Raw genomic sequence first — 26,878 nt, 5'->3', positions numbered from 1 at the left:
CCAGGCTCGGGCGGAAGGGCGGCCGGAGCCGATCAAAGGCTGGCTCCGGGCAGGGGCAGCGAGGGAGCGAGGGGGAGCTCTCCGCAGGCCGGTGTCCCGGAGGAGGCATAATTGGAGCAGGGCTTCCAAGGTCACGGAGAGACGCCGGGCAAGACCTCTTAAGGATCCTCTTCCGGGCTTGAAAGGCAGGCGTCCTCCCGAACCGCGCGACCCAGCCAAGAAGAGCCGGGGCGGGGCCGGGGCCGGGGCCGGGGGCCGACTCGGGAATCTTCGGCCGAGGCTCGGCAATCCCCCCATCCTCCGTCCGGGGCCTCCAGCCCGGGGCCGATCCGGAAACAGCCGAGCGGATCCGGAAACAGCCGAGAGGACCCGGAAGCGGTGCGCTCCGTCACCAGGGAGTGCGGGAATCCGCCGTTTGCGCTGAGGCAATGGCGGCAGCTGCGCCGGTGGCCGCGGACGACGATGAGCGGCGGCGGCGGCCGGGGGCTGGTACGTGAGGGGGCGTCCGTGCAAGCGGGGAACGGTGATGCTGGGGGCGGGGCCGAGCCAGCCACCTGCGGATGGGGGGTGGAGAGGGATGATGGAGGAAGGGGCGGGGCCACGCCGTCGGGAAAGGGGGCGGGGCCTACAGCCACAGGCAAAAGGGGGCGTGGCCCGGCCATTGAAGGGGTAGGGCCAGTGACAGGTGCGAAGTGGGGCCCGGTGAGGAAGGGGCGCGGCCACTAGGAGGGCGGGGCCAGGTGGGACCGAAGAGAGGACTGAGTGAAACTGGCCACCGCGAAGAGATGGAGTGTAGGCAGCACCCGGCAGAGCGAGTGGGAAGGGGGCGGGGCAGGGGCGGGGCCAGGTGAGCCGGGCGGGCCCAGGTGAAGGAGGCCCCAGATGAAGGCAACAGTACTAGGTTGCAGGACTTGCTAAGCCGGTAGGTGGCCTGGGGTAAGAGATGGGAAGAGAGGCTGATCCCTGTCCCCCACAGCACTGGAGGACTCCCGGTCCCAGGAAGGGGCAAATGGTGAGGCCGAGTCAGGTGAGCTCAGCCGGCTTCGGGCTGAGCTGGCAGGCGCCCTGGCAGAAATGGAAACCATGAAGGCTGTGGCAGAGGTGAGCGAGAGCACGAAGGCCGAGGCTGTGGCTGCGGTGCAGCGGCAGTGCCAAGAGGAGGTGGCCTCGCTGCAGGCCATCCTGAAAGGTGAGACGCGGGACTCACCTAGACTCCCCATCAACCCCATACTGGGGAGTGCATGACGAGAAAGGGATTGGGGGCACAGATAAGCTATGGGATAGGTTAGCAGGGCTGCCTGGCACAGGGCATGCCTATGGCCCAGAGGAAGGGCCGCCCTTTTAAAATTTGCATAGAGGCCCTCCATGTGATAGCAGCAGCTCTGTCAGTTATAGCTAAGTTTAGCTCCCAGCTTCTATCTGTTGCCTTGTCCCATGTCATTTCTTGTCCCTCACTGATGATTGATCAACCCTGAAGATGGGCGAGAAACTTCTCAGTTCCCCAAACCAACCTCATTTTAGTCTGGACTTCTGGGAAATAGAATCAGCCCTGGCCCAGTCTCTGTGAGTCTAATGCTCTGCTCTCTAGCCTTCCCCAGACACTCCCCCCTCCACCCCACGCCATGCACCAGCTTCCCCACCTCCGCCCCACGTTCTTTGTACTTGGTCCTCTGGCCCCAGACGCCCCAGCTGCTGATCCTGTTTTCTACTCTCCTTCCTCTAGCAGAAGCCAGAGACTCTGAAACAGATGTCAGAGCTGCCCCCGCTGCTATGCCCCTGCTGCGGTGGGGCTCTCGTCAACTCTCTCCTGGACTTTTGTCCCAACCTTCTCACAGATCTTCCTCTATAGTGTGGCCTTGACATTGGCTTCCAGAGTAAACTTCCTAAAATTCCCTTCCCAACATGCGATTTCCCTTTCTAACAGCTGCTGGTGGCTGGAGACTTCTCTGGGGCTGTATTTCCCACATTTCAGGATCCACCTGCCTGTGCAATGTAGACACATCCTTGTACAACTTACTGTGCTGTTTACTTAATATTTGTTCTTTAAATAGATCCACATTTTAAAAGTTTACATACATTTATTAAGGGAAACTTGTTATATCTACTATATAAGAAAAGCCAGGTGTGTCCTAAATAATAACAATAGCTAGCTTTTTTTTTTTTTCTTGAGTCAATAAGAGTTTCACTCTGTCGCCCAAGCTGGAGTGCGTCACAGCACGCTGGTGTGATCTCAGCTCACTGCAACCTCCACCTCCTGGGCTCAAGCAGATCCTCCTACCTCAGCCTCCCAAGTAGCCAAGACTACAGGTGCATGCCACCATGCCTGGCTAATTTTTAGTATTTTTTTGTAGAAACAGGGTCTCTCTATGTTACCCAGACAGGTCTTGAACTCCTGAGCTCAAACGATCTGCCTGCCTTGGCCTCCCAAAGTGCTGGGATTACAGGTGTGAGCCACCGCGCCTGGCCAGGTAGCATGTTTTGAGCACTCACTATGTGCCAGGCACTGAGCTAAATGCTTTATGAGTAACTAATCTTCATAACAAACTCTGTGAGGCAGGAACTATTACCCATCTCCATTTTACAGAGGAAGCTCTGAGGCCCGGAGAGGTTAAATAACTTGCCCAAGGTCATATAGCTGGAAAACAGCCAAAGGTTGGAAACCAAGCAGCCTAACAGCTGAACCTATTTTTTTTTTTTTCTGAGACAGTGTCTCACTGTTACCCAGACTGGAGTTCAGTGGTGCAGTCTCAGCTCACTGCAACCTCCACCTCCCGGGTTCAAGCGATTCTCCTTCCTCAGCCTCCCAAGTAGCTGGGACTACAGGCGTGTGCCACCACACGTGGCTAATTTTTTTTTTCTTTTCTTTTGAGATGGAGTCTTACTCTGTCGCCCAGGCTGGAGTACAGTGGTGTGATCTTGGCTTACTGCAAGCTCCACCTCCCGGGTTCATGCTATTCTCCTGCCTCAGCCTCCCAACCAGCTGGGACTACAGGTGCTCGCCACCACGCCTGACTAATTTTTTTTTTTAATTTTTAGTAGAGACGGGGTTTCACTGTGTTAGCCAGGATGGTCTCGATCTCCTGACCTCGTGATCTGCCTGCCTCGACCTCCCAGAGTGCTGGGATTAGAGGGGTGACCCACCACGCCCGGCCCCATTTTTTGTATTTTTAGTAGAGATGGGGTTTCACCGTGTTAGCCAGGATAGTCTCGATCTCCTGACCTTGTGATCCGCCCACCTCGGCCTCCCAAAGTGCTGGAATTAGAGGCGTGAGCCAGCACGCCCGGCCCAGCTGAACCTTTACTTCTACTGTTAGTGCACAATAATAGGTCAATATCTATACAAACAAAAAATGACCACGTTCTACCAAAAATCAAACAAGTCCATGTTACTCAGGTGGGAGGATCAGTTGAGGTCAGGAGTTTGAGACCAGCCTGGGCACCAAAGTGAGACCCTTAGCTGGGTATGGTGGCAAGTGCCTGTGGTCCCTGCTACTTGGGAGGGTGAGGTGGGAGGTTCACTTGAGCCCAAGAGTTTAAGGCTGCAGTGAACTATGATTGCACCACTGCACTCCAGCCTGGGTGACAGAGGGAGACCCTGACTCTCTTTTTTTTGTTTTTTTGTTTTTTGAGACGGAGTCCCGCTCAGTCACCCAGGCTGAAGTGCGGTGGCACAATCTCGGTTCACTGCAACCTCCGCCTCCTGGGTTCAAACAATTCTCCTGCCTCAGCCTCCCAAGTAGCTGGGATTACAGGCGCCCACCACCATGCCTGGTTAAATTTTGTGTTTTCAGTAGAGACAAGGTTTCACTATGTTGGCCAGGCTGGTCTCGAACTCCTGACCTAGATGATCTGCCCACCTCGGCCTCCCAAAGTGCTGGGATTACAGGTATGAGCCACAGCGCCCGAACCTGACTCCCTTAAAAAAAAAAAAAAAAAAAAAAAAATCTATGTTCTATCCAACATCACCTCCATCTCCTGCTGACCTGTAGAATAAGTTCCAAACCTCTTGGCGTCACATTCAAGGCCCTGGGAGCCACCCACTGCCTCCTTTCCAGTGTCTCTCCTTGGGCGCCTTCACTGTTCCAGTCCCTCCAACATATTCCACCATGCCACAGCCACGCCAGCTGCTCTTCCGCTGCTCACACTGGTCCTGTTAACTCATGCATCTTTCCCTCCTTCACTGTCTACCACTGTCCTCTCCTGCCTGGCCAGGCAGGCAGAGTGAGGGCTCCTTCCTCTGGGATATCCAAGCCCAGGAAGGGTCCTCTCCTGTACCTCTTCCCATACTGCATCCTAACTATTGCCACAGCCGCCCTCTTCATTGGACTGTGAGCTCCCGGTGGCAGGCTTTGTGTTTGATTAATTTCTGTATTTCCAGAGCCCAGCTCAGAGTCTGATCCAGCGTAAATATTTATTACTACGATTAAGGGCCGGGTGTGGTGGCTCATGCCTGTAATCCCAGCACTTTGGGAGGCTGAGACGGGAGGATTGCTTGAGCTCAGGAGTTCAAGACCAGCCTGGGCAACATGGTGAGACCCCGTCTCTACAAAAAATACAAAAATTAGCCAGGCATGCTAGTTTGTGCCTGTAGTCCCAGCTACTCGGGGCACTGAGGTGGGAGGATTGCTTGAGCCCAGGAGGCTGAGGTTGCAGTGAGTCATGATTGCGACACTGCACTTCAGCCTGGGCAACAGAGTGAGACCCTTTCTCAAAAATTAAAAAAACAGAGGCCTGTGGTGGGGTGGGGGGAGAGGGGAGGGATAGCATTAGGAGATATACCTAATGTAAATGACGAGTTAATGGGTGTAGCTCACCAACATGGCACATGTATACATATGTAACAAACCTGCATGTTGTGCACATGTACCCTAGAACTTAAAGTAAAATTAAACAAACAAAAAAAAAGGGCTGGGAGCAGTGGCTCACGCCTATAATCCCAGCACTTTGGGAGGCCAAGGCGGGCGGATCGCTTGAGGTCAGGAGTTCAAGACCAGCCTGGCCAGCATGGCAAAACCCCGTCTCTACTAAAAATAGAAAAATTAGCCAGGGGTGGTGGTGGGCGCCTGTAATCCCAGCTACACAGGACGCTGAGGCACGAGAATCACTTGAACCCAGCAGGCAGAGGTTGCAGTGAGCCAAGATTGCACCACTGCACCCCAGCCTGGGTGACAGAGTGAGACTCTGTCTCAAAATAATAATAATAATAATAATAATAATAATAATAATAACCAAAAAAAATTCTTACCGTTCTTAAATATTGACTGTTCCTGGTATATATTAATAGGAACAGTGTCACATCTTCTGTGTGCCTGAGAAAGGGCTGGACACCTTGCCTGTGTCATCTCATCTATTTTTATTTTTTATTTTATTTTATTTTTTTGTACACTATTTATCTTAGATATGTCATCTCATTTAGTCTGTAGCCACCAGAAGGATGATCAGTAGTGTCCCCATTTTGCACCTAAGGACACTGATGCACAGAGAGGCTGAGTGATTGCCCAGGTCAATTTCTGCAAAGCCTGCCATGGCAACTGCTATGGTAGATTGTCTCACAGAAAGAGTCAGTGCATCAAGAGTCCCCTGCTCGCCCACAGGCAGGGCTGGCTCATTGACCCTCCCTCTCTCCCACCCTCCCTCTCCCCCACCAGACTCCATCAGCAGCTATGAAGCCCAGATCACCGCCCTGAAGCAGGAGCGACAGCAGCAGCAGCAGGACTGTGAGGAGAAGGAGCGGGAGCTGGGCCGCCTGAAGCAGCTGCTGTCCCGGGCCTACCCCCTGGACTCCCTGGAGAAGCAGATGGAAAAGGTTGGGATTGGGATGGCTTCCCTGCTGCCCTGGGATTTGGAAGAATGTTGAGGACTGTGGATGTCCCATTCCCTGGTCATGGGGTGCGGGGCACCCAGCAGTGATTCTAGGAATAGCACAGAGTTACCAGGTGTTGTTGAGAGCTTGGCTCTGTGCTCCGTAGGGTCCTGGCTTGCCCCTTATTAGTGGGTGACCAAGTTCGCTTAGCTCCAAAATTAACTTAAGTTATGTAGAGGGAAGGGAACTTACACTTAAGGGTAACAAAAAAAATTCTTACTGTTATTAAATATTGACTTCTGGTGTACATTACCTCTTGGTAATATATTGTTAGCTCTTGGCTTGGTGCAGTGGCTCACGCCTATAATCCCAACACTTTGGGAGGCCAAGGCAGGTGGGGCACTTGAGGTCAGGAGTTCAAGACCAGCCTGGCCAACATGGCGAAACCCTGTCTCTACTCAAAATATAAAAATTAGCCTGCGGCGCACACCTGTAATCCCAGCTACTCAGGAGGTTGAGGCAGGAGGATCACTTGAACCCAGGAGGCAGAGGCTGCTGTGAGCTAAGATCGTGCCACTGCACTCCAACCTGGGCAATAGAGTGAGACTTCGTCTTAAAAAAAGGATGCCTCTGATGCTTTAGGCACTGTGCTTAGTGCTTGACAGAGTCAGCCTCCCCAGTCCATTCCCTGTAAGGGAGGTCTGTTAGATCCATTTATCAGATGAGTACGATAAGGCTCAGGGAAATTCAGTACTTCCCCTGTTTACGCACATAGAAGGGAGTGGAGTTGAGATTTTAAAATCTAAGCAGAGGACTAACTCATGCTTATAATCCCAGCACTTTGGGAAGCCAAGGCAGGAGGATCGCTTGAGGCCAGGAGCTTGAAGCTGCAGTGAGCTATGATCTCACTACTGCACTCCAGCCTGGGCACCATAGCAAGATCCCATCTCTAAAAACTTTTTTTGTTAAATTAACTGGGCATGGTGGTGCACACCTGTAGTCCCAGCTACTCAAGAGGCTGACATGGGAGGATCACTTGAGCCAGAAATCAAGCTTGCAGCAAGCTATGATCACATCACTGCACTCCAGCTTGGATGACAGAGTAAGACCCTGTCTCTTTAAAAAAAAAAAAAGTCTAGGCAGACTGGTTTTATTTATTTATTCATTTATTATTGAGACAGGGTCTTGCTCTGTCACCCAGGCTGGAGTACAGTGGCGCAATCTCGACTCACTGCCACCTCTGCCTCCTGGGTTCAAGTGATTCTCCTGCCTCAGCCTCCCGAATAGCTGGAATTACAGGCACCTGCCACCATGCCCAGCTAATTTTTTTGTAGTTTTAGTAGCGACGGGGTTTCACCGTGTTGGCCAGGCTGGTCTTGAACTCCTGACCTCTAGTGATCGGCCCGCCTCCGCCTCCCAAAATGCTGGGATTGCAGGTGTGAACCACCGCGCCCGGCCCAGGCTGGTTCGAAAGTGTTCTTAATCTCTATGATATGTCACCTCCTTTATTATTGCTGTTATTAACAATTATAGGAAAAAAAATTAGCCAGGCGCGGTGGCGGGCGCCTGTAGTCCCAGCTACTCGGGAGGCTGAGGCAGGAGAATGGCGTGAACCCGGGAAGCGGAGCTTGCAGTGAGCCGAGATTGCGCCACTGCAGTCCGCAGTCCCACCTGGGCGACAGAGCGAGACTCCGTCTCAAAAAAAAAAAAAAAAAAAAAAAAAAAAACAATTATAGGAAGCACATATTTATTATCAAACGCTTCATCTTTCAAAGCAAATTTTTATTGTTACTTCATTTGATCCTATAGCAGACCTGTGAGATAGATACTTCAATTAATATTCTTATTTCATGCATAAGGAAACAGGCTCAGGGATGGTGTCAGTTACCTAGTTAGAAAGAAAGATGAAGACAGGAGCCCATGAAACAAAGACCTTCAAGCCACATCTTCCCAGCATCCGGGCTGTCCCGTGCATCCGGAGTGTTCCCCAGGGAGCACCTCCGCAGGTTGGTAAAGGAGAGGGCCCCGCTCAATGAAAGCTGCCCAACACAGTGAAGGGAGCATCAGGGCTGGGCGTGGTGGCCCACGCCTGTAATCCTAGCCCTTTGGGAGGTTGAGGTGGGCAGATCACTTGAGGTCAGGAGTTTGAGACCAGCCTGGCTAACTTGGGGAAACCCCGTCTCTACTAAAAAAGTACAGAAATTAGCCAGGCATGGTGGTGGGCACCTGTAATCCCAGCTACTCGGAAGACTGAGGCAGGAAAGTCTCTTGAACCCAGGAGACGGAGGTTGCAGTGAGCCGAGATCATACCACTGCACTCCATCCTGGGCAACAGAGCAAGATTCCGTCTCAAAAAAGAAAAAGAGATTTGGAGGATTAAACAGCTTGCTTGAGAAGATTTCAAGTGATTCAAGAAGTGGAAAGGGCATGAACTAGAAGTAGGGAGTGATGTGGACAGGGATGACTGGCAGATTTCTGCCTTGAACAACTTGTGGCCAGCAGGGCCGTTTTCACTGACTGAGTGTTTGTGGCAGGAAGAACAGCGTCCCTGAGTGGTTTGTTTTGGGTATCTACGGTTAGAGGAGCCTGTGGGACATATAAGCGGAGATAGGTAGAGGCTGTTGGTTGCTCAACATCAGCAGGATCCGAAGCTTGAAAAGAGGTGGGAAAATATGGTCAGCTCTATGGTGGTGATAGGAGTGTGGGAGAACAAATCGATTAGGATGAGATTTGGCTGCATGTGATTGAAAACCCAAATTAACAGTGGCTTAAATGTGACATAATTTTTTTTTTTTTTTTTTGAGATGGAGTCTTGCTCCGTCCCCAGGCTGGAGTGCAGTGGTGCCATCTCAGCTCATTGCAACCTCTGCACCCAGGTCCTGGTTCAAGCAATTCTCCTTCCTCAACCTCCCAAGTAGCTGGGATTACAGGCGCGCACCACCACATCCAGCTAATTTTTGTATTTTTAGTAGAGATGGGGTTTCACCACGTTGGCCAGTCTGGTCTTGAACTCCTGACCTTGTGATCGGCCCACCTTGGCCTCCCAAAGTGCTGAGATTACAGGCGTGAGCCACTGCACTTGGCCAGAAATTTTTTTTTTTTTTTTTTTTTTTTTGGAGACAAGAGTCTCAGTCTGTCGCCCAGGCTGGAGTGCAGTGACGTGATCTTGGCTCACTGCAACCTCCACCTCCCGGGTTCAAGTGATTCTCGTGACTCAGCCTCCCTGAGTAGCTGGGATTACAGGTGCCCACTGCCACGCCCGGCTAATTTTGTATTTTTAGTACACACAGGGTTTTGCCGTGTTGGCCAGGCTGGTTTCAAACTCCTGCCCTCAGGTGATCTGCCCGCCTTGGCCTCCCAAAGTGCTGGGATTACAGGCATGAACCACTGCACCCAGCCCAGAAATTTGTTTTTTTCAAGTTCAGAGGTAGACATTTCAGGACTGGTATAGCAGCTCAACAAGTTGTCAAGCAGGCTTCTCCTATATTGCTGTTTTGCCATAGGTAGCACATTGCCTCATGGTCCAAGATGACTGCTTGAGTGCCAGCCATCATGTCCACATTCCAGCCAGCAAAAAGGAGGAGAAGGAGGAATAAAGAAAGGCACACCCTCTTCCTTTGAAGAGTTGTCCTAGGCCAGGCACGGTGGCTCATGCCTGTAATCCTAGCACTTTGGGAGGCCGAGGCGAGCAGATCATTTGAGGCCTAGATGGGTGGTCTCAGGAGTTCGAGACCAGCCTGGCCAACATGGTTAAACCCCCTTCTACTAAAAATACAAAAAAATTAGCTGGGCGTGGTGGCACGCATCTGTAATTCTAGCTACTTGGGAGGCTGAGGCAGGAGAATCGCTTGAACCTAGGAGGCAGAGGTAGCAGTGAGCAGAGATAGTGCCATTGCACTCCAGCTTGGGCAACAAGAATGAAACTTCTTATTAAAAGAAAAAAAGTTGTCCTGGGCCAGGCACGGTGGCTCACACCTGTAATCCCAGCACTTTGGGAGGCTGAGGTGGGTGGTTTCAGGAGTTCGAGACAAGCCTGGCCAAAATAGTGAAACCCTGTCTCTACTAAAAATACAAAAATTAGCCGGGCGTGGTGGCGAGCGCCTGTAATCCCAGCTACTCATGAGGCTGAGGCAGGAGAATCGCTTGAACCCAGGAGGCGGAGGTTGCAGTGAGCCGAGATTATGCCACTCCACTCTAGTCGGGGCAACAGAGTGAGACTCCATCTCAAAAAAATGTAATAATAATACAAATAAAATAAAGAGTTGTCCTGGAAGGTCCCCTTGGCTTATCTGTTTCCATCTCAGTAGCTGGAACTTAGCCAGATGATCTGTTTAGTTGCAAGGAAGCTGAGAAATGTGGATGGTATTTTAGGATTTAGGCCACATGCCCAACTAACAATGTGAAGTGTGCTGGCCATTGGTGTAATCCCAACCCAGATGCTGGGAATCACACTTGTAATGCCAGCACCTTGGGAGGCTGAGGTGGGAGGATCACTTGAGGCCTGGAGTTCAAAACCAGTCTGGGCAACATAGCAAGATCCTGTCTCCACAAAAAAATACAAAAATTAGCTCATTGGTGCACATGCCTGTAGTCCCAGCTAATCAGGAGGCTGAGGCAGGAGAATGGCTTGAACCCAGGAGGCGGAGGTAGCAGCGAGCCGAGATTGTGCCACTGCACTCCAGCCTGGGTGATAGAGCAAGACTCCATCTCAAAAAAAAAAAGGTAAAGTTCTATGACGAAAGAAAAAAATGGATGTTGGAGAAGGAAGACATGGTGAGTGACGGGACCACAGGAAGAAGTCGTGACCTTCATCCTTGCCCTTATGTCCTGGGGCAAGTCGTGGAAGCTTCTAGAGCCTCTGTGTTCTTATCTCTGGAATGAGGGTGGACAGCACCTTCTAGGGAGGATTAGGAGAGCTGATGTGCTTGGAGAGGAAGCTCTGAACAGACCCGGGGCTTCAGCACTTTGGAGGGGGAACTATTGCTGCCACACCCCGCTCCCTCCAGGCCCACGAGGACTCGGAGAAGCTGCGGGAGATCGTACTGCCCATGGAAAAGGAGATCGAGGAGCTGAAGGCGAAGCTGCTGAGGGCCGAGGAGCTGATTCAGGAGATCCAGGTGAGGGCACGGCCAGGGGGCGCTGGGGAAGGAGGGGTGCCAGAGGACCCTGGCCCCCCAGCCTCTTCCCTGCCCCCTTCCCTAGAGACGTCCCCGGCATGCCCCTTCCCTGCACGGCTCCACGGAGTTGCTGCCCCTGTCCCGGGATCCATCGCCCCCGCTGGAGCCTCTGGAGGAGCTGAGCGGAGATGGGGGTCCAGCCGCTGAGGCCTTCGCTCACAACTGCGATGACAGCGCCTCCATCTCCTCCTTCTCCCTTGGCGGTGGGGTCGGCAGCAGCTCCTCCCTGCCCCAAAGCCGCCAGGGCCTGAGCCCTGAACAGGAAGAGACGGCCTCGCTGGTGTCTACGGGCACCCTGGTTCCCGAGGGCATCTACCTGCCCCCTCCTGGCTACCAGCTCGTCCCAGACACTCAGTGGGAGCAGCTGCAGACAGAGGTGAGTGTTGTGGGCAGGGTGGCGGGGTGTACCATCCCCCTCTCTGCTGGATGCTTCCCCCGCACCACCTGTGTTCAGACCCAGAACTAGAGCCGGAGCTTCCACAGGGAGAAGAGAGGCCCCCCTCCTGGTGAAGGCAGGCAGATGTAAACATGCATAGGGGCCAGGTGCGGTGGCTCACACCTGCCATCCCAGCCACTCGGAAGCTGGGTGGGAAGATTGTGGCTAGGAGTTCAAGGCCAGTCTGGGCAACATAGTAAGACCCTGTCTCTTTACAAAAGTTAAAAAAAAAAAAAAAAGCCAAGTATACACTTGTAGTCCCAGCTACTTGGGAGGCTGAGGCAGGAGGATCTCTTGAGCCCAGGAGATTGAGGTTGCAGTGAACCGAGATCGTGCCACCCACTCCAGCCTGGGTCACAGAGTGAGAACCTGTCTCAAAAAAAAAAAAAAAAAAAAAGAGGCCGGGTGCGGTGGTTCATGCCTGTAATCCCAGCACTTTGGGAGGCCGAGGTGGGTGGATCACCTGAGGTCAGGAGTTTGAGACCAGCCTGGACAACATGGTGAAACCCCATCTAAAAACACAAAAATTAGCTGGGCGTGGTGGCGCATGCCCGTAATCCCAGCTACTCAGGAGGCTGAGGGAGGAGAATCGCTTGAACTGGGGAGGCGGAGGTTGCAGTGAGCCAAGATCAAACCACTGCACTCCATCCTGGGCAACAAGAGTGAAACTCTGTCTCAAAATAATAATAACAATAATGTGATACAAAAAATGAATTGTATATTTAACATGGGTAAATTATGTGGTAAAGAAATTATAACTCAATAAAGATGCTTTAAAAAAAAATGCACATGGATGCATGGGGAAGACATTGTCACCAGGGAGATGCCCAGAGAAAAACAAAACTGGGCTTATAGGATAGAGACTGGCAGTGAGGGAGACTGACCCGGGTTCAGGCTGGAACTGAGACCCAGATGGCGTGAGGAAGTACTCTTAAAGACCGGGGCAGGCCGGGCGCGGTGGCTCATGCCTGTAATCCCAGCACTTTGGGAGGCCGAGATGGGCAGATCACCTGAGGTTGAGAGTTCAAGACCAGCCTGACCAACATGGAGACAAGCATGGTGGCGCATGCCTGTAATCCCAGCTACTTGGGAGGCTGAGGCAGGAGAATCGCTTGAACCCAGGAGGCAGAAGTTGTGGTAAGCCGAGATCGCGCCATTGCACTCCAGCCCGGGCAAGAAGAGAAGCAGAGAGAAACTGTGTCTCAAAAAAAAAGAGAAAAAAAAACCGGGGCACAAGGAACTGTGAGTTCGAAGGCCCTGAGGATGGAGAGACCACAGTGTGTCTGAGGAACAGGAAGGCCACCGGGGAGGAGAGAAGAGGAGACCAGAAAGAAAGGCAGGGCCACATGAGTCCGACCTCGGGGGCCTGTTGTGCATTGTGCGTCTTAGGAGACGTGGGAAGCACCTGCAGGGTTAAGCAACGGAGAAGCCTCCCGGCTCCAGGCTTTCAAAAGCTCACTTGGGGCCAGGTGCAGTGGCTCACGCGTGTAATCTCAGCACTTTGGGACACTGAAGCGGGCAGAATGCTGGAGCCCAGGAGTTTGAGACCAGCCTGGGCAACATGATGAAACCCTGTCCTACAAAAAAACACAAAAAAGTAGCTGGGCACAGTGGCACATGCCTATGATCCAGGCTACTTCGAGAGGTTGAGATGAGAGGATTGCTTGAGCCCAGGAGGTCGATGCTGCAGTGAGCTGAGATCGTGCGCCACTGCACTCCAGCCTGGGTCACAGAGTGAGACCCCATCTCAAAAAAAAAAAAAAAAAAAAGAAAGAAAGAAAGCTTACTTGGGGCTGTGTTGGGGTAGGGGACACAGGAGAAGCTGAGAGGCTGGGACTGTGGTGTACAGGAAGGTGGTACCTTGGACCAGGGGATGGCCGCAGAGACAGGAAGAAATGGGTGGATGTGGAATCCACTTTTTTTTTTTTTGAGATGGAGTCTCGCTGTGTCACCCAGGCTGGAGTGCAGTGGTGTGGTTCTCGGCTCACTGCTAGCTCCACCTACCGGGTTCATGCCATACTCCTGCCTCAGCCTTCCGAGTAGCTGGGACTACAGGCGCCTGCCACCACACCTGGCTAATTTTTTGTGTTTATAGTAGAGACGGGGTTTCACCATGTTAGCCAGGATGGTCTCGATCTCCTGACCTCGTGATCCGCCCACCTCGGCCTCCCAAAGTGCTGGGATTACAGGTGCGAGCCACCATGCCCGGCTGGAATCCACTTTTTTTAAGATGGAGTCCTGTCCTGTCACCCAGGCTGGAGTGCAGTGGCCTGATCTTGGCTCACTGCAACCTCTGTCTTTCAGGTTCAAGCGATTCTCCTGCCTCAGCCTCCCCAGTAGCTGGGATTACAGGGGCCCGCCACCACGTCCAACTACTTTTTTTGTATTTTTAGTAGAGACAAGGTTTCACCATATTGGTCAGGCTGGTCTTGAACTCCTGACCACCCACCTCAGCCTCCCAAAGTGGTGGGATTATAGGCATGAGCCACCATGCCTGGCCCTGTTTTTTTTTTTTTTTTCTCTTTTTTGAGACGGAATCTCACTCACGGCAACCTCTGCTCACTGCTCACTGCAACCTCTGCTTCCTGGGTTTAAGTGAATCTCCTGCCTCAGTTTCCCGAGTAGCTGAGATTACAGGTGTCCCGCCACCACGCCCGGCTAATTTTTTGTATTTTTAGTAGAGACAGGGTTTTACCATGTTGGCCAGGCTGGTTTTGAACTCCTGACCTCAAATGATCCACCCGCCTCGGCCTTCCAAAGTGCTGGGATTACAGGCGTGACCCCACTCCACCCAGTCCTGTGGAATCCACTTTGGAGGTGGACCTGGCAGGGCCTGCTGATGGGTGGGGAGTGAAGGGAAGAGAATGGATGGCTGGGCCTGTAATTTGACGGACTGTGTGGATGAGGGCACCTCCCTGCAGAGGTGGGCCACGAGAAGTGTGGTGAGGGGGGCCAAGTTCCTGGGAGATGCAGGCTGAAGGCAGGGTCTGTGGCAGGGCCGACAGCTGCAGAAGGACCTGGAGAGCGTCAGTCGCGAGCGGGACGAGCTCCAAGAGGGCCTGAGACGGAGCAATGAGGACTGTGCCAAGCAGGTGGGTCCCTGCCGCTGCTGCAGCCCCAGCCGGCCTCTGGCTACCTGCCGCCCCCTGACATGCCCTTGCCCTCACTTTCGCCCTCCCTCCAACCCAGATGCAGGTGCTCCTGGCCCAGGTCCAGAACTCAGAGCAGCTGCTGCGGACCCTGCAAGGGACCGTGAGCCAGGCCCAGGAGCGGGTGCAGCTGCAGATGGTGAGTACCTGGGGGCCCTAGGGCAGGAGGGCGAGGAGTCCAGCAGGAATCAGTTGCACGTGGTGGAAGGGGGCACGTGGGAAGTCAAGGAACCTGTCCTGTCCCCAGCTGCTCAGGCCACACCCTGGAACCGGTGCCAGGTAGGTAAGAGGGTTTTGGGGCAGCTGGTGCCGTGGCCAGAACAGGGCCCCTGCAGCCACACAGAGCTGTTTGATCTTGAGCTAATCCCAGACTCCCAGCCTCTGCCTCACCATCTATAAAACTGACATAATGGGCCCTAGTTTGCAGAGTCATGAGGATTAAAATCAAATCTGACTGGGCGAGGTGACTCATACCTGTAATCCTAGCACTTTGGGAGGCCTAGGCGGTTGGATCACCTGAGGTCAGGAGTTCGAGCCTAGCCAACACAGGGAAACCCCATCTCTACTAAGAATACAAAAATTAGCCGGGCATGGTGGTGGGCGCCTATAATCCCAGCTACTTGGCTGGGCAGGATAATCGCTTGAACCCAGGGGACAGAGGTTGTAGTGAGCCGAGATCACGCCATTGCACTTCAGCCTGGGTGAAAGCAAAACTGTCTCAAAGAAAAAAAAAAAAAAAAAGCAAATCAGATACTGACAAAGACTGGGGAGGAGACATACGTGATTGAACAGGGCCAGGTGTAGGGCAGGAGGGTAGGAGGGCAGTAGGCGGCCTGGAACCAGAGGCCCCTGCAAGGGGCTCCTGCCTCTGGGCTTTGCTGACTGTGGCCACCTAGGAACACAGGTTCCCTGCTGCCAGATTTTCTGATTTTTCAAGAGAAACCAAAAATATGAATATTTGTGTATTGTCTCCTATTTTTTTTTTTTTTTTTTTTTTTGAGACGGAGTCTCGCTCTTTCACCCAGGCTGGAGTGCAGTGGCACGATCTCGGCTCACTGCAAGCTCTGCCTCCCAGATTCACGCCATTCTCCTGCCTCAGCCTCCCGAGTAGCTGAGACTACAGGTGCCTGCCACCACGCCCGGTTAATATTTTTTTTTGTATTTTTAGTAGAGACGGGGTTTCACCGTGTTAGCCAGGATGGTCTCGATCTCCTGACCTCGTGATCCACCCGTCTCGGCCTCCCAAAGTGCTGGGATTACAGGCGTAAGCCACTGAGCCCGGCCTCCTGTTTTTTTTTTTTTAAGAAATGGTGTGTTGCTCTGTCGCTCAGGCTGGCCAGGCTGGAGTGCAGTGGTGCAATCAGAGCTCACTGAAGCCTCAACTTTCTGGGCTCAAGCAATCCTGCAGCCTCACCCTCCTGAGTAGCTGGGACTACAGGCTCACACCACCATGCCCAGCTAATTTGTAAATTTTTTTGTAGAGTCGGGGTCTCACTATGTTGCCCAGGCTGGTCTCAAACTCCTGGCCTCAAGTGACCCTCCCACCTTGGCCTCCCCCATAGCCAGGGTTATAGGTGTGTGGCACCACGCCTGGCTTGTCTCTTAATTTTTAGAATTGGCAACTACTTTAAGGTTTTAAAAATATATATGGGCCGGGCACGGTGGCTCACACCTGTAATCCCAGCACTTTGGGAGGCCAAGACAGGTGGATCATCTGAGGTCAAGAGTTTGAGACCAACCTGACCAACATGGTGAAACCCCGTCTCTACTAAAAGTACAAATATTAGCCAGGCGTGATGGTGGGCGCCTGTAATTCCAGCTACTTGGGAGGCTGAGGCAGGAGAATCGCTTGAACCCGGGAGGCGGAGGTTGCAGTGAGCCGAGATCACTCTATTGCACTCCAGCCTGAGTGACAGAGGGAGACTCTGTCTCAAAAAAATATATATTTTTTAAAATTTAAATTTATATATATTTAAATATTTGTGTGTGTGTGTGTGTATGTGTATATATATATATATATATATATAGACCAAGTAAAATATCTGGCTTGGGCCCTGGCAGCAGCCTGTAATCTGCGTGTTAGCAGGGACAGAGGTGTCTGAAGAGCTTGGTAGCAAAAAGTGCTCCTTCCTTGCTTAGGAACAGAGAGGGTATGGGCTCTCTTGCTGTCAGTCTGGGAGGAGGGTTCAAGGAGGTTTGGCCTCCTAGGGACTGGAGACGCCCTGTCCTCTTCATTGCCTTATACTAACTGTCTGTCCATAGGCGGAGCTGGTCACCACCCACAAGTGCCTGCACCATGAGGTAAAGCGGTTGAATGAGGAAAACCAAGGGCTCCGGGCCGAGCAGCTGCCATCCTCAGCCCCCCAGGGCTCGCAGCAGGAGCAGGGCGAGGAGGAATCACTGCCCAGCTCTGTGCCAGTAAGCTGAGTGTGGGCACTGAGAGCCTGGAGCCACCGTGAGGGCCCCTTCTTCCCAGGCAGGGCAGAGCGTTGGTCACGACCAGCCAGGGTGCTGTGTATTTGCTTGGCTAACTCATTTGCCTTCTCTAAGGCTCAGTTTCCTCATCTGAGAAATGGAACCATACATGCTTTCCAGCATTGGCATCAAAAGAAAATGAATTAACAGAATGCTTGGCAGGAAGGAAGCAGTCATTTGGTTGGTTTGCTATTTTTAAGTGACACGCGAGCCACAAGATTGAATTTATCATAATCTTTGGTTTATAGCAAGCTGCCATCATGGATCTATGCCTAGCCTTTGTCAACTTTTTCTTAATAATATGGCTTATTAGCCAGGCGCGATGGCTCACACCTGTAATCCTAGCACTTTGAGAAGCTGAGGCGGGCGGATCACTTGAGGTCAGGAATTTGAGACCAGCCTGGCCAACGGTAAAACCCTGTCTCTACTAAAAATACAAAAAAATTAGTCAGGGCTAGGCGCGGTGGCTCACGCCTGTAATCCCAGCACTTTGGGAGGCCAAGGTGGGTGGATCACCTGAGGTCAGGAGTTTGAGACCAGCCTGCCCAACATGGCAAAACCCCATCTCTACTAAAAATACAAAAATTAGCCTGGTGTGGTGGCGGGCACCTGTAATCCCAGCTACTCGGTAGGCTGAGGCTGGAGAATCGATTGAACCCAGGAGGCGGAGGTTGCAGTGAGCCGAAATCGCGCCATTGCACTCCAGCCTGGGTAACGAGTGAAACTCTGTCTCAAAAGAAAAAGAACATTAGTTGGGTGTGGTGGCTCGTGCCTGTAATCCCAGCTACTTGGGAGGCTAAGGCAGAAGAATCACTTGGCCTGGGAGCCAGAAGTTGCAGTGAGCCAAGATCGCGCCACTGCACTCTAGCCTTGGCGAGAGAGCAAGGCTCCATCTCAAAATAATAATAATAATATGGCTTATTAATAAATTGATTAGAAATAGATCACTTGGTGGCTGGGCACAGTGGCTCACGCCTGTAATCACAGCAGTTTAGAAGGCTGAGGCAGGAGGATCATTTGAGCCCAGGAGTTCAAGACCAGCCTGGGCAACAAAGCAAGACCCTGTCTCTACAAAAAATAAAAATAAAAATATTAGCTGGGCTTGGTGGCTTGCGCCTATAGTCCCAGCTACTTAGGAGCCTGAGGCAGGAGGATCACTCAAGTCCAGGAGTTCAAGATCAGCCTGGGCAACATAGTTGAGACCCTGTCTCTACAAAAAATACAAAAATTAGCCAGGTGTGGTGGCCTCCACCTGCAGTCCCAGCAACTCAAGTGTCTGAGGTGGGACGCTTGAGCCTGGGAGGTTGAGGCTACAGTGAGCTGTGATCATGCCACTACACTCCATCCTGGGCCACAGAGTGAGACCCTGTCTCAAAAAAAAAAAAAAAACAAAGGCAAAAAACAAAAAAAAAGATCCATGGGGCACCTTCCCCACCCTGAGATCTGTCCACTTCCGGGCACCTCCTCCCCATTCCTTGGCTCTGCTTTGCCCTTGCGGTCTTCGGTGTTTTCATTACATGTACAGTGCGATGCTTAACTTTCATTGTTCTTGAGCTTTACAAAAGGGTTTATTTTATTTTATTTTTATTTTTTGAGACAGAGTCTCGCTCTGTCGCCCCAGCTGGAGTGCAGTGGCACCATCTCGATTCACTGTAACCTCCACCTCCTTGGGTCAAGCAATTCTCCTGCCTCAGCCTCCTGAGTAGCTGGGATTACAGGCGCCGGCCACCAGCTGGCTAATTTGTTGTTGTTGTTGTTGTTGTTTGTTTTTGTTTTTGTTTCTGTTTGAGATGGAGTCTTGTTCTGTCGCCCAGGCTAGAGTGCAGTGGCGCGATCTCGGCTCACTGCAACCTCTGCCTCCTAGGTTCAAGTGATTCTTCTGCCTCAGCCTCCGGAGTAGCTGGGACTACAGGCGTGCACCACCACGCCTGGCTATTTTCTGTATTTTTAGTAGAAACGGAGTTTCACCATATTGGCCAGGCTGGTCTCGAACTCCTGACCTCACGTGATCCTCCCACCTCAGCCTCCCAAAGTACTGAGATTGCAGGTGTGAGCCACCGCGCCCGGCAAGGGGCTCTTGCTGTAGGTAATCTGCTGAACTTTATGGTTGGGACTCTTCCTGAGCGCTCTCCACGGTGTGGGGCATGGTCGTGTGTCCTGAGCTTCCTCTCCTGGGCCGGAGCGCACCTGTCCTCCTCCCAGATGATGGGCATTTTGGGCTCTTCCCCACTTTAGCCCTTTGCTTCCATCCTCCCTTCCTTCCCCGTTCCTCCCGACAATCCCCGTCTGGCTGGTGGCCCCTGCCCTCCTGCCCTCCTGCCCCAGCCCAGCAGGTGACTCCTCCGTCCCTTCCAGGAGCTGCAGCAGCTGCTGTGCTGCACGCGGCAAGAGGCGAGGGCCCGGCTGCAGGCCCAGGAGCACGGGGCCGAGCGCCTGCGGATCGAGATCGTGACGCTGCGGGAGGCTCTGGAGGAGGAGACAGTGGCCAGGGCCAGCCTGGAGGGGCAGCTGAGGGTGCAGCGGGAGGAGACAGGTGAGGGGAGGGGCACAAGCCCCCAGCCCCGGGCCCAGGGCCCCTGTCGGCCTTGCAGGGAGCCACCGGGGCCCAGGCGTGGGCAGCAGCGGGGAGGGGAGAGAGGCTGGCCTTGACCTCTCTTTCTTTCCTTCCCACAGAGGTGCTGGAGGGTGAGTGTGTGCTGGAGGTGATCTTGGGGATCGCCCACCCTGGCTGGGCTAGGTGGGGAAAGGGAGAGGGCATGGCCCTGACGTCTCCCCCTGCCCTGACTTCCCAGCCTCCCTGTGCAGCCTGAGGACAGAGATGGAGCGGGTGCAGCAGGAACAGAGCAAGGTGAGGGGGAGGGCAGGGGGACTGGGAGGAGAGGGACCCAGCTGTGGAAAAGACCCTCCCCCACCCCTCCCGCCCTCTGTGTCTCCCTCAGGCCAGGTGGAGGAAGCCCTGGGGCAACGGCTGGCCATGCACCCTCCCATCTGGTCCAGGCTGAGCCAGGCCCAGCTCAGTGTGGTGTCTGTCCCCGCAGGCCCAGCTCCCAGACCTCCTCTCAGAACAGAGGGCCAAGGTGCTGCGGCTGCAGGCAGAGCTGGAGACCAGTGAGCAGGTGCAGAGGGATTTCGTGCGACTGTCCCAGGCCCTGCAGGTATGGCCTGTCCCAGCCCCGCCAGGCTGGCTGGCTCCACTCCGGGTGACCTCTCCTGGGTCTTGCAAGGACAGTTCCCTGGTTAGGGGAGTCCTTTCTTCCTCCTGGGGCTGGCATGGTCCTGTCCTGAGCTGTTACTCAAAAAACCCTGAAACTCTCATGTGAGCCTTGGTCAGTCACCTGAAGCCCTCAGTACAGGGCATGGTGGACGCTCAGGGCATTTGTGGCATCAGCCCCCTAGAGGTGGCCCCTGGGTCCACTGGTACCAGGCCCCGCCCTTGGGGGCTGGCAGGTGGGGTAGGGGCTGCGTTTCCCCACAAGTGCACTCTGCTCCCCTCGTCCGATCCGGCAGGTGCGCCTAGAGCGGATCCGCCAGGCTGAGACCCTGGAGCAAGTGCGCAGCATCATGGATGAGGCGCCACTCACGGACGTCAGGGACATCAAGGACACCTGAGGGGTCAGGATATCCCCACCCCCACCCTGGGAAAGACGCCTTTCCCCACTCCTGAACCATGAGGCCTCGCTCTGGGGTCTTGGATGGCTTTTCCACCGTCCCTGAGACTGGGGTTGAGGGGACTGACGGGGGCCACCACCGCCCCGCCCTCCAGCGCCTCCTCCCAGGGTGGCTGGGCCTCCTGTTCTCAGGGATCACACCTGGGTGAGGGGCCCAAGCCCCTCCCGGAACCAAAGGTGCAGGCTCAGGCCTGCGGCTTTCTGGCTGCTGTGCTGCCTCCTGGGCTCCAGCCCTCCCCTGCCCCCAGCCCGTCCCCTGCCCAGGGCACAGCGGAGCCATGGGGGCTGGGAGTCCCCATCAGAGGCAGTGAGGTGGGCCCCGGCCCTGGGACAGGCAGCTGCCTTCTGGTCTGCATGACACTAAGACGCTTGTCCACAGCGGCGACCCAGGCCTCCAAGCTTGCACAGAGGCAAGGCCAGACTTTTCCGTCGTTTATTTTCAATAAATAAGCAGCTCAGCGCAGTCGGTCGCCTTGTCCCTGCAAGCCCCTCGGGGTTGGGAAGGGGAATTTACAAGGTTGAGAGGGAGGCGGGTGGCCGAGGGGGAAGGAAAGGGAAGGGGACATGTTTATAAACAGACACATGACACGGGTGTGGGGGACAGGACGGGGGTCTGTGCCACAGCTCTGCCTGAAGATGTGTCACTATCGGGGTGGGGAGGACAGAGCAAAAGGATGCTCACTTCCTTCTTTCATCTTCTGGATCTGGAAGGGGAAAGAGAAGGGATGAGGCAGGCGGCAGGAGGGCAGCGAGGTCCCTCCCAGGTGCATCTCCCAGGCACGCACTTACCTGGAGGCTCAGAAGCTTACCACCCTGCCAGTTTCTCCCCTACTCACCTGCGTCCCCAGACACCCCGCCCCCCCCCACTGCAGCCCCACAGCAAAGACAGCCCAGCACACAGCCAGCGCAACGCAGCGCAGCAGACGGGCCCAGAGGCTGGCACTGCCCAGGGCCTGGGAGCCAAACTGACGCCCAGTGGGAGGCCAGCGGCCCACCCTGACTGGAAGCGCAGCAGCAGCAGTGGCAACGGCTCCAGGTGGAGCTGCGAGCACAAGTGACCTTGGATGCGACGCGCAAGGGGCTGAGGGGGCGCGGGTGGCAGGGGCACAGCAGCTGGGCTGAGGGCAAGAAGGGGGTGATACCTGTGACACGGGCTCAGAGATGGAGGAGGGGGAACAGTTATCCTATGGCCAGAGAGGACAAGAGGCACTGTTATCAAGGCAGGGAGGTGGCATGGGGGCTATAGGGGCTGTGGGGGCTGAGGAGGCAGTGGGGCTGCCCCGGAGATGTGGCCCCTGCAGGCGCAGGGGGAACGGGGCGGACACAGGTCCTGCCAGGGCTGAGAAACTTACCACCTGCAAAGTACGGGGCGGGGCGGGGGCGGCGTCATGGGGAAGGGGCTGTGGTGGGGCCAGGGCTTGGGACAGAGAGGGCACTCCTTACCCTCTAGGTAGTTCCGAGCAACGAACTTGAGGATTTCGTCGAGCCCAATGACTGGCAGTGAGATCTTGAGGACCATGAGCCACTGGGTGAGGTCCAGGGCCCGGAGCTTGAAGATCATCTGGGGCAGGGGACAAGCGCCCTCTCAGGAGGGGGTGGGGAGGGAGCCAGAGACCAGCACTGCCCAGCCCACTCCCACCAGCCTCCCACATCGGCGCCCCTGGTGGGAGTGGTCATGGGCCCGCCGTGGGCTCCCCAGTGCTGGGGTGGGCGGCCCTGGGCGGAAGAAACCTCACCGGCAGGGGGTCAACATAGAGGATGAGGAAGTGCAGGGACATGGAGAGGCAGATGGAGCCCAGCAGCCAGATGTTCACCCAGGGTGGCATCCGCAGCAGGGACTGGTTCTCGGACAGGCTGCAGAGGGGAAGGGGAGGGAGAAGGCACAGTGAGGAGGAAGGAGGTGGGCGGCACAGTGGAGGATGTGGGCAGTGGCCTCAGGGGAGGGTGGTGGGTGTAGCTGGGGGGCCCCCACCTGTTCAGTGCATTGCACATCTCGATGGTCACCAGCACGGACAGGGCCATGGTCATGGGCTCGGGGGCCTCGAAGACCTCACAGTCTATGCCCTCAAAGTGGGTGTTGTCCTCGGTGCACTGCATGAAGTGAGTCTGCAGGGAAGGTACGGGAGACTGAGGTCCAGGGCCACCTCCATGCCACCCTCCTGGTACCCTCCTGCATCCCCACACCCTCCTGGTCCCCTCCTTTGTGGCCTCCCCCTACCAGCTGGCTGTAGTTGACATGAGGCCCATCCTCAGCGTACAGGAACCACCAGGCAGCTGCTCCCACGGTGGCTGCACCCACATAGCCTGTGGTGGAGAGAGGGGAGTCGGGGGTCAGGGCTGGGGAGATAGGGGGCATCGAGGGTTGAGGGCCTCATGTGGCCATGGACAGGCTGGCCAAGGAAGAAGACCCTCTCAGCACCTGCATGGGGGAGCTGGTGTCCCAGAGAGGGGGTTAGTCCCAAGGGGTGGGGAGGATCGAGGAACCCCTCCAGCTCACCCCCGATTGCCATGTAGCGGAAGAAGAGCCAGCCACTGATGAGGGGCTCCTTGGGGCTCCGGGGGGGGCGGTCCATGATGTCCAGGTCTGGTGGGTTGAAGCCCAGGGCTGTGGCTGGGAGCCCGTCGGTCACCAAGTTCACCCATAGCAGCTGCACCGGGATCAGGGCCTCAGGCAGCCCCAGGGCAGCGGTCAGGAAGATACTGTGGGAAGGAGGTGGTCACACCTCTGTCCTGCCTCCCAGACCTGCAGCCACCCCACCCTAACCCCGGCTTCCTCCTGGACGCCCACCCAGCTGCTCACCAGACCACCTCGCCCACGTTGGAGGAAATGAGGTAGCGGATGAACTGCTTCATGTTGTTGTAGATGGCGCGGCCCTCCTCCACAGCAGCTACGATGGTGGAGAAGTTGTCGTCAGCCAGCACCATCTCAGAGGCAGTCTTGGCCACGGCAGTGCCAGATCCCATGGCAATGCCAATCTCAGCCTTCTTCAGGGCAGGGGCGTCATTGACGCCATCACCTGTCTGAGGGAGGAGGAGAAGGTGGGCTTAGGGCACCTTCACACATCCCTCCTTTTTAAAAAAGGTTTTATTTTAGGGATGAGGTCTCACTCTGTTGCCCAGGCTGGTCTTGAACTCCTGGGCTCAAGCAATCCTCCTGCCTCAGCCTCCCAAAGTGTTGGGATTACAGGCATGTGCCACCACACTTGGCCAAAAACTCAGTTTAGAACAAAGATCGGCACACTTTTTTTTTTGAGACGGAGTCTCACTCTGTCGCCCAGGCTGGAATGCAGTGGCGCAATCTCAGCTCACTGCAACCTCCGCCTCCCAGGTTCAAGCAGTTCTTCTGTCTCAGCCTCCTGAGTAACTGGGACTACAGGCATGTGCCACCACGCACGGCCAATTTTTGTATTTTTTGGTAGAGATGGGGTCTTGCCATGTTGTCCAGGCTGGTCTCAAACTCTTGACCTCAGGTGATCTGCCTGCCTCAGTCTCCTTAAGTTCTGGGATTACAGGCATGAGCCCCTCCGCCCACCTTTTTTTTTTTTTTTTTTTTTTGAGACAGGGTCTCACTCTATTGCCCAGGCTGAAGTGCAGTGGTGCAGTCATAACTTTCTGCACCCTCAAACTGTGCTCAAGTGATCCACCTCAGGCTCCCAAGTAGCTAGGACCACAAATATGTGCCACTGTGAGGCTAAATTTATTTTTAAAGTTTTGTTTTAGTAGAGATGAGGTCTTGCTATGTTGCCCAGGCTGGTCTCGAACTCCTGCTCAAGTGATCCGCCCACCTCAGCCTCCCAAAGTGCCAGGCCCAGCCCACAAATCCTCCTTCAGACTCTTCCTTGGGGTCTGAATCCCCACCCTTCTTGCATCTTACCAGGGCCCTCTGGCCCTGGGCCCCACTCTCCCCAGCACAGTCATCTGGTCATCTCCGTGGACACTAAGGCTGCAGCTGCCTGGGCCCTCTCACCATGGCTGTGATCTCATCGTAGGACTGCAGGTACTCCACAATCTTGGACTTGTGCGAGGGCTCCACACGGGCGAAGCAGCAGGCACGTCGGCAGGCTTCCCGCTGTTCAGCCAGGGGCAGGTCGTCGAACTCTCGGCCCGTGTAGGCGCGATCGGCCACCTCCTCGTTCTCCCCAAAGATGCCAATTCGCCGGCAGATGGCAATGGCTGTGCCCTTGTTGTCCCCAGTGATCATGATCACCCGGATCCCGGCGTCACGGCACAGCTGGATGGAGCCCGTGACCTCCTTGCGCGGAGGGTCCAGCATGCCCACTACACCCACGAATGTCAGGTCCGTCTGGGGAGATACAGCAGAGAGCCACAGGTCAGGTGGGGATCTGGAAAACTCCCCTGGAGGAAGCTGGTGGGGGGTGGGGATGGGGTGAAAGGTCAGGAAGTGGTGGGGAGGGGTGGGAAGCCTGAACCCTGGGCTTGCCGCCTCAGGGCCTGGTGTCAGACCTCAGTGGGGCCTTGGAAGCTCAGAGGCAGGAAACATCTCATTCATCTAAGCACCTGCAGGTGCTGATGGTGCCAGGCCCATCATGGGTCAGATCGTATCTTTTTTTTTTTGAGACAGGGTATTGCTCTGTCACCCAGGCTGGAGTGCAGTGGTACAACGGTGCGATCATAGCTCACTGCAGCCTCAATCTACCAGGCTCAAGCGATCCTCCTACCTCACCCTCCCAAGTAGCTGGGACTACAGGCATGCACCAACATGTCCAGCTAATTTTTTTTTTTTAATTTTTAGTAGAGAAAGGATCTTGCTATGTTGCCCAGGCTGGTCTCAAACTCCTGGGCTCAACAGATCCTCCAGCCTCGGCCTCCCAATGTGCTGCGATTACAGGCATAAGCTACCACGCCCAGCCCAAATCGTGTCTTTCCTTTTTTTTGTTTTTGTTTTTGTTTTGTTTTTTGAGATGGACTCTTGCTCTGTCACCCACGCTGGAGTGCAGTGGCAATGGCATGATCTCAGCTCACTGCAACCTCCACCTCCCAAGTTGAAGCGATTCTCCGCCTCAGCCTCCTGAGTAGCTGGGATTATAAGGGCGCACCACCACGCCTGGCTAATTTTTTTATTTTAGTAGAGACTTGGTTTTACCATGTTGGCCAGGTTGGTCTCAAACTCCTAACCTCAAGTGATCTGCCAGGCTTGGCCTCCCAAAGTGCTGGCATTATAGGTGTGAGCCCTGACACGTGGCCCCAAATTGTGTCTTTTTCGGGGGGGGGGGGGCGGGCGCAGGGGATGGAGTCTCGCTCTGTTGCCCAGGCTGGAGTGCAGTGGCACGATCTCTGCTCACTGCAACCTCCGCCTCCCAGGTTCAAGCGATTCTCCTGCCTCAGCCTCCAGAGTAGCTGGGATTACAGGTGCCCACCACCAAGCCCAGCTAATTTTTGTATTTTTAGTAGAGATGGAGTTTCACCATATTGGCCAGGCTGGTCTCAAACTCCTGACCTTGTGATCTGCCTGCCTTGGCCTCCCAAAATGCTGGGATTACAGATGGGAGCCACCATGCCCAGCCAAAATGTGTGTTTCATAGAAAGAACGTGAACTGGAAGTGAGGTACTGCTTTCTGCTTTTGGCAGTGCCACTACGTGACCCACAACTTAGAAGAAATCCTCTGTACAAAATGAAAGGAGGGACTGTGGTGCCATTCTGGCGCTGGTCTAGTAGAAGTAAGGAGTCTTTGCCAGAACACAGATCAACTGTCTCGAGACAGTCTTGCTACAGAAAACACAACAGCTGAACTCCCCTATGTGCTGAGTGGCATTGGCTCCTGTTCTGGTTCAAGTGGCTCACCTTGTTACCAACCACAGATCACATTTGCTAGATGATTCCCAAGGTTCATTCTTTCTCTCTTTTGTGTGTGTGTGTGTGTGTTTTTGTTTTTTGTTTTTAGAGACAGGGCCTTGCTTGTCATGCAGGCTGGAGTGCAGTGGTGGGATCATGGCTCACTGCAGCCTCCAACTCCTAGGTTCAAGTGATCCTCCCACCTCAGGCTCCCCAGTAGCTGGGTCTACAGGTGTGTGTCACCATGTCCAGTTCATCTCTTTTCTTTTAACATTTTTAAAAATGTATTTTACTTTTTACCCAGACCCCTATGAATTTAACCAGGTAATTAAAAAAATTTTTTTTTTAATAGAGATGGGGTTCTCACTTCATTGCC

At 54.4% G+C, this 26,878-nt stretch overlaps 2 protein-coding genes across 4 annotated transcripts in view, besides 5 other annotated features; one reads left to right on the top strand and one right to left on the bottom strand.

Annotated features, from left to right (window-relative positions):
- Positions 113-462: a silencer, noted in NCBI's record as "silent region_7318". NCBI's record gives its function as "represses an Ori minimal core promoter by ATAC-STARR-seq in GM12878 lymphoblastoid cells {active_cell/tissue: GM12878}" and the evidence as "EXISTENCE:reporter gene assay evidence [ECO:0000049][PMID:35858748]".
- RABEP2 (rabaptin, RAB GTPase binding effector protein 2) lies at positions 354-21,171 on the top strand. The gene is made up of 13 exons (NM_024816.3): positions 354-489; positions 977-1,189; positions 5,649-5,806; positions 10,810-10,920; positions 11,006-11,356; positions 14,413-14,508; positions 14,606-14,704; positions 16,828-16,983; positions 19,396-19,573; positions 19,714-19,725; positions 19,833-19,888; positions 20,079-20,195; positions 20,548-21,171. The coding sequence occupies exons 1-13, from the start codon at positions 429-431 to the stop codon at positions 20,647-20,649; spliced, it is 1,710 nt and encodes a 569-aa protein (NP_079092.2). The 5' UTR covers positions 354-428; the 3' UTR covers positions 20,650-21,171.
- Positions 493-712: a silencer, noted in NCBI's record as "silent region_7317". NCBI's record gives its function as "represses an Ori minimal core promoter by ATAC-STARR-seq in GM12878 lymphoblastoid cells {active_cell/tissue: GM12878}" and the evidence as "EXISTENCE:reporter gene assay evidence [ECO:0000049][PMID:35858748]".
- Positions 873-1,102: an enhancer, noted in NCBI's record as "active region_10651". NCBI's record gives its function as "activates an Ori minimal core promoter by ATAC-STARR-seq in GM12878 lymphoblastoid cells {active_cell/tissue: GM12878}" and the evidence as "EXISTENCE:reporter gene assay evidence [ECO:0000049][PMID:35858748]".
- Positions 1,133-1,222: an enhancer, noted in NCBI's record as "active region_10650". NCBI's record gives its function as "activates an Ori minimal core promoter by ATAC-STARR-seq in GM12878 lymphoblastoid cells {active_cell/tissue: GM12878}" and the evidence as "EXISTENCE:reporter gene assay evidence [ECO:0000049][PMID:35858748]".
- Positions 18,996-19,844: an enhancer, noted in NCBI's record as "H3K4me1 hESC enhancer chr16:28917069-28917917 (GRCh37/hg19 assembly coordinates)". NCBI's record gives its function as "activates a minimal SCP1, AML or CMV promoter by ChIP-STARR-seq in naive H9 embryonic stem cells {active_cell/tissue: H9 hESC(naive)}" and the evidence as "EXISTENCE:reporter gene assay evidence [ECO:0000049][PMID:30033119]".
- The window catches only part of ATP2A1 (ATPase sarcoplasmic/endoplasmic reticulum Ca2+ transporting 1), a 25,979-nt gene continuing 20,226 nt past the window's right edge, over positions 21,126-26,878 (bottom strand). For 2 of the 3 annotated variants that reach the window (NM_004320.6, NM_001286075.2), the window contains 9 exons: positions 24,676-25,011; positions 23,509-23,729; positions 23,206-23,408; positions 22,927-23,012; positions 22,681-22,814; positions 22,445-22,562; positions 22,152-22,269; positions 21,851-21,892; positions 21,126-21,412 (listed from right to left, as the gene is read on the bottom strand). In NM_004320.6, the coding sequence (NP_004311.1) occupies positions 21,888-21,892; positions 22,152-22,269; positions 22,445-22,562; positions 22,681-22,814; positions 22,927-23,012; positions 23,206-23,408; positions 23,509-23,729; positions 24,676-25,011 (1,221 nt within the window). In that variant the 3' untranslated portion in view covers positions 21,126-21,412; positions 21,851-21,887. The remainder of the gene's footprint in view (positions 21,413-21,850; positions 21,893-22,151; positions 22,270-22,444; positions 22,563-22,680; positions 22,815-22,926; positions 23,013-23,205; positions 23,409-23,508; positions 23,730-24,675; positions 25,012-26,878) is intronic. The other variant, NM_173201.5, reaches the window with a different exon arrangement.

Source organism: Homo sapiens, chromosome 16 (assembly GCF_000001405.40).
Source record: "Homo sapiens chromosome 16, GRCh38.p14 Primary Assembly".
NCBI classification, from domain to species: Eukaryota; Metazoa; Chordata; class Mammalia; order Primates; family Hominidae; genus Homo; species Homo sapiens.
The sequence above is the reverse complement of the archived record's forward strand: the minus strand, read 5'-3'. Positions and strand labels throughout refer to the sequence as shown.

What these genes read in the sequence shown, in the direction of transcription:
- RABEP2 (NM_024816.3), top strand. Translation starts at nt 429, where the DNA reads ATGGCGGCAGCTGCGCCGGTGGCCGCGGACGACGATGAGCGGCGGCGG. An exon ending in AGCTGATTCAGGAGATCCAG is followed by an intron (nt 10,921 to 11,005) that starts GTGAGGGCACGG and finishes CCCCTTCCCTAG; the next exon opens with AGACGTCCCCGGCATGCCCC. An exon ending in GACTGTCCCAGGCCCTGCAG is followed by an intron (nt 20,196 to 20,547) that starts GTATGGCCTGTC and finishes CCGATCCGGCAG; the next exon opens with GTGCGCCTAGAGCGGATCCG.